General features: G+C 39.1%; 1 protein-coding gene across 8 annotated transcripts in view; it reads right to left on the bottom strand.

Annotated features, from left to right (window-relative positions):
- Positions 1-12,133, bottom strand: part of FAM149B1 (family with sequence similarity 149 member B1) — a 76,386-nt gene that overhangs the window by 12,724 nt on the left and 51,529 nt on the right. For 2 of the 8 annotated variants that reach the window (NM_173348.2, XM_047425143.1), the window contains exons 8-9: positions 3,597-3,721; positions 1,256-1,359 (exon numbers count right to left, since the gene is read on the bottom strand). In NM_173348.2, the coding sequence (NP_775483.1) occupies positions 1,256-1,359; positions 3,597-3,721 (229 nt within the window). The other 6 variants (XM_005269744.3, XM_047425142.1, XM_047425145.1 and 3 more) reach the window with 5 other exon arrangements.

Genomic DNA, 12,133 nt, shown 5'->3' with positions numbered 1-12,133 from the left:
CACATTGCCAGTGAGATGGCCCCTCACTGTAAACACACCCCAGAAGAAACCCATCTTTTCCGCCAACAGAGGCTTCCCTCAAGCTTGAAATCGAGATAACTTTGATTCCTCTATTTCTATAGAATTTCACTTAAATTTCACTCCCAAAATAGCTCATTCGTTTCTCACCCTGTGTGGCCGCTTGAGTGCAGACCCTTAGTAGCTCATGCGTGGACTCCTGCATTGACCCCTTACCTTCAGTTCCTTCCACTCCATCCATTTACACTATGGTGAAATCGATCTTTCAGATTCCTGATTTAAATATATGTGCTCCCAAACCAAAATTCATACATTGCTGGAAGGAGTGTAAAATGGTACAACTCCTTTGGGAAATCGTATGGCAGTTTCCTATGAAACTAAACATATACCTGTGCTATGACCCTTTCATTTCTAGGTATCAACTCAAGAGAAATGAGACCGTAAAACCACAAAAAAGACCTATACAAGAATATTTAGAGTAACTTTATTATGTGTAATACCTCTAACCTGGAAATGACCCTTGTTAATTAATTAACAGGAGAGCAGATGGATAAATTGTGTGTATTACAATAGAATACTCCTCAGCAAGGGAGGAGGTCATACACAACAACGTGGATGAATCCCAAAAACCTGACACTCAAAACTCTCCACAATCTGGTCCTAACATTCATTAGTTCCATAGTCACTTCTTTCCCGCTAATCACACCATGGTCTATTTTAATTCTAGAAGATTGTCAATTATCTTTGATCAGAAGCATTAAAGTTCTGACCTATTTTCCGTTCTTCTATGTCAAAAGTGATCTGCTATCTTTCCTAAATATTTTGTATTTTCTTATCCCCAAACCTTTCCCCATATCATTCCTCCTACCTAGAATGCCCTTGCTGCTCTCCTTTGCTTATCCAAAGCCCCATCTTTCAAGGACAAGTTCAAAACCTACACTTACCCACCAGAATGCTTTGGGGCTGTCATAGCACTCATTCTGGACAGCACGCACATGGCACTCAGTTACAAAAATGCCACATATGGTTAGGTCTTTTTTTACCCACGTATGTCTTCTCTTTCCAGTTACATTATCAGCCCCCTGATGGTGGAGACCATGTCCCTTGGATGTTTTACTCCCCAGGAGTTTTTGTGGTTGCTTGGTTGGCACTCAATACATGCATACTGATAAACTGATTTTGCTTTCCCTCTGTTTCCCTTTTACACTGTATAGTCTGAAAATGTTGAACTTCTTACAGGAGCTTGTCCATTAGGGAGAGATTTCTTGGCTGTAGAGGCATTCCATGAACCAAGAGATCATTCACATTTGGCTGATGTCTGCTTGCTTGACAGAGACTCATCTACGTGTTGAAAGAAGACAGTACTCTTGATCGGTTGGAGAAGATACCTGTTTGGTTTTCCAACTTTGCCAAAAGTTAATATTTCCAATTTGGTTATTTATACTTTTTCCCCATGCTTTAATTTTTATAACATCTTGGGGCCCGTAGCTGGGGCCCCAAGTCAACTGTCCATGTGATAGGGTCCCTCCTTTCCTCTCCATTCCTAAATGACAGCAGGTAGGGGAAGCCTGATCAATCTGGATGAAAACAATTAACAGCCCTCTTACAGGGAGTGAGGACCTTTATTATTATTGTTTACATTAAAATAGAAGAGAAAACTCACAGACAAAATATGGAACAATAATAGAAAATAGTAAGGGGAAACTGTAACTTAATCTCTTTCATCATCACACAATCCTGCACTCTGTACAAACTAATCCTTCTCTTTCACTACCTGTGGAGCAGGTCAGCCCTCAATGATAACCTAAATCCTGAAGACTCTGTACTAGGAGGTAAGCTTATCTGTTCTAATTTTAGCAGGATGTAATGTTTCTTGGACTGGCATTGCCCCCCTAGAGCCCTGCTTGTTTTCTCAGGTCATCAGCTCATTGGCTTTTCTGGCAGTCTCCGCTGCCACAGAATGTATTTTCCTTCCTCTTTCTCTTCAGAATGTTTGAATTAACTCTTCTCCTTTCTTAGGTCATCAGCGACCAGAACGTCTAACTATTCAGGGCTTAGGTCACTAAACCACGGCCACACCAGTTCAACATGCAGCAGTGCTTTACTACCACAAAAGGAACATTAATTTACCTGGTTCATCCCTGGTGTGGTGACTTACGAGCCTTCATAATTTTCTCTTATTTTTTCTGAGACGGAGTCTTGCTCTGTCACCCAGGTTGGAGTGCAGTGGCGTAATCTCAGCCCACTGCTACCTCTGCCTCCCAGGTTCAAGTGATTCTCCTGCCTCAGCCTCCAGAGTAGCTGGCACTACAGGTGCCTGCCACCATGCCCAGCTAGTTTTTGTATTTTTAGTATAGATGAGGTTTCACCAAATTGGCCAGGCTGGTCTTGAACTCCTGGCCTCAAATGACCCACCCACCTTGGCCTAATTTTCTTTTTAAATACCTGTTTTGTAAATCCAGCTGTATAACATCTGGCCAATATGCCAACACCTTTCTCTGGTTTTTTTTTTCCACCTTAAAAGTAACACCAGGAAACTATTGTGTAGGAACTGAGACTACATAAATCATTACACAGGGATAAGACCAATCTCATCTGCCTCCTGCAAGAAATACCATCTTTGTGCTTGTTCAGACTCACTTGAAATAGCTTTTCTCTTTGTTTTTGTTTGATTTTTATACCTGGTTTATGAGTACTAAACATCCAAAAGGCAAAAAAGTTAACAGATTTAAATATTAAAAAACAAAAACAGCCTGGGTATGGTGGCGACTCAGGAGGCTGAGGTGGGAAGGTGGCTTGAGCCCAGGAGTTTGAGACCAGCCTGGGCAACATAGTGAGACTCCTCTCTCTAAAAAACAAACAGGGACCAGGTGCGGTGGTGGCTCATGCCTGTAATTCCAGCACTTTGGGAGCCTGAGGCAGGTGGATCACATGAGGCCAGGAGTTCGAGACGGGCCTGGCCAACATGGTGAAACTCTGTCTCTACCAAAAATACAGAAATCAGCCGAGTGGTGGTGCACATCTGTAATCCCAGGTACTCAGGGGGCTGAGGCACAAGAACTGGTTGAACCTGGGAGGCGGAGGTTGCAGTGAGCCGAGATCATGCCACTGCGCTCCAGCCTGGGTGACAGAGCGAGACTGTCTCAAAAAAAATGAAAAAATAAAAAATAAACAGGGTGGGCCAAGTTGAGAGAAAAAGGAAGGAAAAACTCAAAAGGAAGGAGGCGTTCAAAGGACAATGTCAAGGCCATAGAGAATCTAAGATGAGTCATTTTTATCATAAGGGTATCCTCCATTCTTCCCAAAACAGACTTAGGCTGACCACATGGTTGATTCTAGGTTGCACAACTTACAGATGCCTCCTTAGAAGAGCTGACTGAGAAATATTTATCAACTCTAATTTGCTATTAATATTTTAAACAAACCAATGCGAAGAGTCACTGGATTATTATGATAAACACATAACTGTACTAAAACATATTGAGTCAGAAATCATACAAGTAAGGCAAACAACTCTGAGCAAATTTCCTCTGGTGAGAGTAGCCCTGGGGTCTCCAACTGATCCCTCTGGGGCTTACCGGATTTGAGGTAATGTACAGCACCTTAGACTGTGGCACTCGCGGTAACACCAAAGGATGTAGTTCACTCAGCACACAGGAACTTTCTGAATCGGGTCTGGTAACTGCAACATTACTCTCATCATCTGGGCAAAGGAACAGGATATATTATCCATGGATAATCTTCTGGCCCACAGCAACAGTATTGTGAAAAAAGATCTCTCCTGAGAATTCATAATCTCAAACAAGGCTTCACTTATCTTTGCAGTACAATTTTATGCCACCTGCATGGTTCAAAAAAACCCCTCAAACCAAGACTAGTTGAAAGTGGTTTCCCAGGCTGATGATGCCTACTGGTACCTGGCAGAAAGAGAAAAAGATCTCTAGGGCACAGTTGTCCTACATACCTTTGGAGTTGACAGAAATATTTTACAACTGTGCTGTCCAGTGTGGTAGTAGCCACCACCCTCCTATAGCTATAGAGCACTCAGAATGTGGCTAGGGAGTGAGGAGCTGAATTTTAAATTTAATTTTAACTTATGGCCAAACGTGGCTGGTGCCTACTCTATTGGACAGTATAGCTCTAGGGAAACCTTCATTAATCCAGACCTCAATTCCCACAGGTAAAGTTATGAGATTAGAAATCACTTTTAAGAATCACATCCACGAAGAAACAAGGCATCTTGAAAAAGAGCAGGCAGAAACAGCATAGTCGGATCAGCAAGGACTTCAGAAATTGGAATTGACAGATGTAGAATGTAAAACAAAAGCAGAAATAGAAAATATGACTAAGAGCAAGACACCATACAAATGACCAAGCAGGCTGGGCATGGTGGCTGACATCTGTAATCCCGGCACTGTGGGAGGCTGAGGCAGATTGCTTGAGGCCAGTAGTTCAAGACCAGCTTGGGCAACATAAGGAGACCGCCATCTCTACAAAAAAAATTAAAATTAGCTGGGCATGGTGGCACGTGCCCTTGGTCCCAGCTACTTGGGAGGCTGAGGTGGGAGGACAGCTTCAGCCCAGGTAGTTGAGGCTGTAGTGAGCTGTGATGGCCCCACTGCACTCCAGCCTGGGCAACAGAGTGAAACCCTGTTTCAATAAATAAAAATAAAAAATAAATATTTTTCTTCATTAATTTAGACTTTAAAACTGTCTTGATTAAAAGTTAAAATCATTATAAAAACAAGTTATAAATAGGTGATTACATTTCACCAGAGTTTTATATACTTTGAGGTTACAGTTCACAGACCATGTAGCCCTACTGCATATACTGCAAACCTGCATGCAGTTTGGCTTTTCTCTTCACATAGAGGTTGGGAAAGTTGCTCTAATAATAGAGATAGGTTTGTACCAGCACCTGTCAGTTTGTTCTAACAACAATGAACCAACTGGTCCATGACAAAGCCAAAACTGCAAGTGTTCTCTTTCTGTACTTCCAGGTATTATAATAAAAAGTAATGACAATAGCTAACATTTATTGAGCTCTTAAATATTACAGGAACTACTCTATATACTTTCATGTAACTGGTTTATTTCTTAAACAATACTATGAAATAGATATTAGTATTTATACTCATTTTATAGATAAACTGAGGCTCAAAGAAGTTAAGCAACTAGCCAAGAATCTAAATAAAGTTAGTGTCAGACCCAGTGGTCAAACCCAGGTCGTGTGGCAACAAAGTCTGTATCTTTTTTTTGAGACAGAGTCTCGCTCTGTTGCCCAGGCTGGAACGTGGTGGTGCAAGCTCCGCTCACTGCAAGCTCTGCCTCCCACGTTCATGCCATTCTCCTGCCTCAGCCTCCCAAGTAGCTGGGACTACAGGTGCCCGCCACCACACCCGCTTAATTTTTGTATTTTTAGTAGAGATGGGGTTTCACCATGTTAGCCAGGATGGTCTTGATCTCCTGACCTCATGATCCACCCGCCTCGGCCTTCCAAAATGCTGGGATTATAGGTGTGAACCACTGTGCCCGGCCCAAAGTCTGTACTTTTAATCATTATATGCCACTGCTTCTCATGGGGATCACATTGTAGAGCAGGGTTGGCAAACTATAGCCCATGGGTCAAATCTGGCCTGCTACTTAAAAAAAAAAAAAAAAAATTATTGTGGTAAAATACACATGACTTACCATTTTACACTCATGTTACTTAACAACAGGGATACCTTCTGAGAATGGCATTATTAGGTGATTCTGTTGTGTGAAGTCTGAGTGTATTTACACAAACCTAGGTGATACAGCCTATTACACACCTTAGCTAAATGGTACAGCCTGTTGCTCCTAGGCACAGGCCTGTACAGCATGTTACTGTACTGAATACTGGGGGCAACTATAACACAATGGTTAGCATTTGTATATTTAAACAAGCCTGAACATAGGAAAGGTACAATAAAATTATGGTACAAAAGATAAAAATGGTACAGGTACCTTGTATAGGGTACTTATCATGAATGGAGCTTACAGGAATGAAAGTTGCTCTGAGTGAGTCACTGAGTGAGTGGTGAGTGAATGTGAAGGCCTAGGTCATTACTGGACTGTCTATAAACACTGTACATTTAGGTTACACTACATTTTTAAAAATTTCTTCAAAAAATTACCCTTAGTTATACTTTTTGACTTTATAAATTTTTTATTTTTTTAACTTTTTGATCCTTTTGAAATAACAGCTTAAGGCACAAACACTGTACAACTGTACAAAAATATTTTTTCTTTATTTCCTTATTCTATGAGGTTTGCCTATTTTTTAATTAATTTTTACTGTTTAATCTTTTTGTTAAAATCTAAGACACAAACACACACATTAGCCTAGGCCTACATAGGATGAGGATCATCAATATCACTGTTTTCCACCTACACTTCCTGTCCCACCGGAAGGTCTTCAAAGGTTGTGTAACACACATGGAGCTGTCATCTCCTGTGGTAACAATGCCTTCTTCTGGAATACCTCCTGAAGGACCTACCTGAGGCTATTTTACAGTTAACTTTAAAAGACATGGTAGGAGAACACTCTAATGATAAAAATATAGTATATACATAAACCAGTAACATAATCGTTTATTATGAAGTATATGTACTGTACATAATTGTTTATGCTGTATTTTTATATGACTGGCAGTGCAGTAGGTTTGTTTATACCAGCATCACCACAAACACATCAGTAATGAGTTGTGCTTTGACTTTACGACAACTACAATGGCATTAGGTGATAGGAGTTTTTCAGCTCCATTATAATCTTATGAGACCATCATATATGTGGTCCAACATTGACCAAAGTGTCATTATGCCACACAGGACTGTATACAATTCAGCAGCATTAGTTACATTCATGATGTTGTGCAACCCTTACCTCTATCTAGTTCAATAACTTTTTATCACCCCAAAAAGAAACCCCATACCTGTTACTACTGCCTGTTTTTCAAAATAACGGTGTGGCTGGGTGTGGTGGCTCACACCTGTGATCCCAGCACTTTGGGAGGCCGAGGTGGGCAGATCACCTGAGGTCAGGAGTTCGAGACCAGCCTGGCCAACATAGTGAAACCCCATCTCTACTAAAAATACAAAAAATAGCTGGGTGTGGTGGCAGGCACTTGTAATCCCAGCTACTCGGGAGGCTGAGGCAGGAGAATCACTTAAACCCAGGAGGCGGAGCTTGCAGTGAGCCGAGATCACACCACTGCACTCCAGCCTGGGCCACGGAGCGAGACTGTCTCAAAAAAAAAAAAAAAAAAAAGTTGTAATAATCATTTGTTTATTCTCATAGTGGTATAGTATTCCATTGTATGAATATATCACATTCTACTGTTGATGGACATGTGGGTAGTTTCTGATGTATGTTTTCTAGTTATTTATGAACATTCTTGCACCTATCTTTTGGTGAACATATGTACTGAGTATGTACTAGTGTACACAGCCAAGCTCATTCATTTACATCTTATTTATGGCTGCTTTCATGCTACAAGGGCAGAGTTGAGTAGTTGCAACAGAGACTGGATGGTTGTCAAAGACTGAAATCTTTACCACCAGCCTCTGCATAGACAGTTGTTTCCTGACCCCTGTTTTAAGGTATTTCAGTCAACCTACTAAATGCCAATTAGAGATCCTCCAGCTCCATTTCATGATGTCTTGTTTTTAGACTTTAGTCTCAAAATTACAGTTACAATACAATAAAATAATCTTAATTTATGAATGCACAGAAAAATAAAAATATTAATTCACAGCCCAACACTGGTAAATTGTGAAAGGTGAAATAAGATTTTATCTGGTACGTGGTGGTTGATACACTGAAACTGGAAGGAGTTCCTTTGTTTATTACCAGGGTTTATTATTATGGGAGTCTGGGTATGACTCTGGACTTTTAATTACCACCTGTCCTGTGTCTCAAAAAAATTAACCTCATATAATATAAACTAGTTCATTTTAAAGAGAGTGCTAGTCCTATTCTCTAATACAAGCTTAAAAAAAAAAAAACCTAACACACATACAACATAGTGGCTTAAAAATAAAACAAACCCACAAAGACCACACATCAAGTGTGGCAAATGTGGAGCAACTGGAACTCTCACACAATACTGGAGAGGCTGTAAGTAGGTATAACCACTTTGAAAATTTTTTTGGCCATATCCACTGAAGTTAGAATAGCATATCCTCTGACCTAGCAATTCTACCCTTATGCGTCTAGTACTTAAGTTCATCAAAAGACATATACAAAAATATTCATAATAGTATTATATTCTAGACAAACCACCCACATATCCATCAACAGTAGGGTGTGATATAGTCATACAATGGAACACTATAAGCAATGGGAATAAACTTGTTGCGAGCAAAACATAACTGAATTTAACAAATATAATATTGAATAAAAGAAGCCAGATGCATAAGGGTATATACTATATGAATCCATTCTTACAAAATTTTAAAACAGGCAAAATTAATCTGTGCTGTTGGAAGTCAGGATGGGGTTATCTTGTGGGGGTACGGATTAAGTAGCTGACTGAAAGAAAGCATGAGAAAGGCTTCTGGAGTACTGGCAATATTCTTGATCTGGGTGCTGGTCATAAAAGCATACTGTTTTTCTTTTTAGAGACAGGGTCTTGCACGGTCATCCAGGCTGAAGTATATTAGCACAGTCATAGCTCACTGCAGTCTCAAACTCCTGGGATTAAGGGATCCTCCTGCTTTAGTCCCCTGAGTAGCTAGGACTACAGGCATGCACCACCACGCCCTGGCTAATTATTTTTACTTTTTGTAGAGACAAAAAATCCTCAAGCTTACTTGATGTAAATTTACTTTGTAATTTTCTATGTGTATATTACACTTCAATAAAAACTTTTTTTTCCCTTTTACTCTTGGCAAGCTGTGATTCAATAAAAAGTTTAAAAATGTTGGACTTCTGCTTCCAGCCAAGATGGAGTAACATGAACTGGGTTTACTCTCCTAAAACAATGAAACAATGGCTTTCAAGACCACTGTATATCAGATAATGAAAGTCAGTAAACCCTGAGATGATAAACAAATGAGACTGGACCTGCAATTGCCTTGAAAAAGTTTCCAAGATATGGCATAAAGAGTGGGAACTGAGGCACAGCCTGGTGGACTCCCTGAGTTGAGAGTCCAGAGACCAAGGCAGCTCGGATTCATAGAACAGAGTATCTTAAAGAAGAGAAATAGGAAGAGAACCCATGATATCTGCAGAGGGTGGGGCATCATTTGAGCATTCAAAATGTACTATCAGTGCACATATGAGAAGAAGCCACCTGAGGCTAGGAAAAAAAAAAGTGAAAGAAGGGAACAGTACTTGCTGCTCACGTGGAACAAGGAATACTGCCTGTTCCCACTCTCCAGACCAGAAAAACTCAATTCATGGAGCACTGGGCAGAATAAGATCTTGCCTCCATAGGTGGGTAATAATTAGCTCTAGACTGAACATTGCTCCAGACCTAACAAATCATAAAAGAAAGACCAGAATGGATCAAACTGTTTGCAAGTAACTTAATTGCATTTCAGAACAAAGCTCAAGAAAATATGCAGTAATAAAAAGAAATTCATCCCTTAGTAAGGTAAAATGCACAATGTATGAAATCTAATCAAAGATCACCAGGCAGGAAAATACAAGCCATAATGAAGGAAGTATCAACTGAAACCAACCTAGAATTAACACAGATATTCAAATTATTCCACATTTTCAAAATATCAAATAGAGACATGGAAAATATATATGTCTCTCTCAAATCATACTTTGAGATGAAAATGACAATATCTCACATGAAATACACTAAATGAGCAGATTCAACGTTGTAGAAGAAAAGATAATGAACACTGATGGCATAACAATAGCAATTGCCCAGAATGAAATACACACAGAAAAAAAAGAATACAAAAAAAATTTTTTTAAAGCATGAGTTACCTGAGGGATCAATGATCAAATGGACTAATTTATGAGTGACCAAAGTCCTGACGGATGATGGGGGACAGAAAAAAAAATCTGAAGAAATAATGGCTGAAAGCTTTCCAAACAATGAAAACAAACCTACAAATCTATGAAGTTAAACAAACTCCAGGCAGAAGAAACATGGGGAAAACTACATTAAGGCACATCATAGTCAAATTGTTCAAAACCAGTGATAAAGAGAAAATCTTAGCAGCCAGGAAAAAAAAATACATGCACCAAGGAACAAAGATAAGGATGACAACAAATTTCTTTTCAGAAACAATGCAAGCGAGAAGAAATGGACAGCATTTTAAAAGTACTAGAAGGCAAACTATTCACATAGTTCATAAAATTATCTTGCAAAAATGAAAGCAAAATAAAGGAATTTTCATATCTACAAAAGAAACAGTTAATCACTAGCAGACCCACATACAAGAAATATTAATGGACATTTTTCAGGCTGAAAGAATTTTAAAAATTTTTTTAAAAATAAGATTCATATAACATAAAATTCATCATTTTAACCATTTTAAAGTATGCAGTTCAGTGGTTTCTAATATAGTCACAATGTTGTGCAATCATTACCACTATGTAATTTCAAAAAATTTCTATCACTCCGAAAAGAAACATGGTACCTCTCAATTTCCCTCTTCATCCATCCCCCAGCAACCACTAAACTCTGTCTCTATGGCTCTGCCTATTCTGGACATTTCATATGAATGGAATCATACCATATACATGGTGCTTTGTGATTGGCTTCTTTCATTTAGCATATTTTCAAGGTTCATCCATGTTGTAACATGTATCAGTACTTAATTCCTCTTTGTGGCTGAATAATATTCCATTGCATGGTGTACTAGTCTGCTAGGGCTGCCATAACAAAATAGCACTGATTGGGTGGATTACACAATGGACATTTATTTTCTCACAGTTCTGGAGGCCAGAAGTCCAAGATCAAGGTGCTGTCCTGGCTTTCCGGTGGCCACCTTCTTTCTCTGTCCTCACATGGCCTTTTCTCCACGTGTAAATAGAAAGAGATCTCCGCTGTCCCTTCCTCTTCTTACAAGGACACCAGCCCTATTGGATTAGGAGCCCACTCTTATTACCTCAGAACCTGAATTACCTCCCTAAAAGCCTGTCTCCAAATACAGTCACTTTGGGGGTTAGGGTTTCAACATATGAATTTTAGGGGGGAAACAATTCATCCCACAACACATGGATAAACCCAATTTTGTTCATTCATCAGCTGATGGACATTTGGGTTGTTTCCAGCTATTATGAATAATGCTGCTATGAGCATTCATGTTCAAGTTTTTGTATGGATATATGTTTTCAGTTCTCTTTTTTATATACCTAGGAGTGGAATTTTCTTGGTCTTTTGACAATTTTGTGTTTAACATTCTGAGGAGCTGCCAAATTGTTTCCACAATAGCTGCAGCATTTTATATTTCCACTGCCATGTATGAGGGTTCCAATTTCTCTGTATCTTTACTAACACTTGTTATTTTTCTTTTAAGAAATAAAATGTAATTAAAAATATATATACACATAGCCATCCTAGTGGGCATGAGGTGGTATCTCGTTGTGGTTTTTATTTGCACTTCCCTAATGACTAACGATGTACAGCGTCTTTCATGTGCTTATTGACCATTGGTGTATCTTCTTTGGAGAAATATCTATCCAAATTATTTGCCCATTTTAAAATTGGGTTGTTTGAGCTTTTATTATTGAGTTATAGTTCTTTACCCTGGATACTAGATGCTTATCAGTTATATGATTTCTAAATATTTTCTCCCATTTCACAGGTTGTCTTTCGCTTCCTTGATAATGTCTTTTATAGCACAAAGTTTTACATTTTGATGAAGTCCAAATTATTTTTTCTTTTGCTGCTCATGCTTTTGGTGTCATATCTAAAGAATGTAATGTCAAATCCAAGGTCATGAAGAGTTACTCCTTTGTTTTCTTCTGAGAGTTTTATGATTTTGGCTCTCAAATTTAGGTCCTTGATCCATTGTGAGTTGATTTTTGTATATGGTATGAAGTCAGGATCCAACTTCATTCTTTTACAGGTGAATATACAGTTGTTCCAGTATCATCTGTTAAAGAGACTATTCTTCTCCCATT

The sequence above is a fragment of the Homo sapiens genome, chromosome 10, assembly GCF_000001405.40.
Source record: "Homo sapiens chromosome 10, GRCh38.p14 Primary Assembly".
NCBI lineage: Eukaryota > Metazoa > Chordata > Mammalia > Primates > Hominidae > Homo > Homo sapiens.
This window is presented reverse-complemented; position numbering and strand designations above follow the sequence as displayed.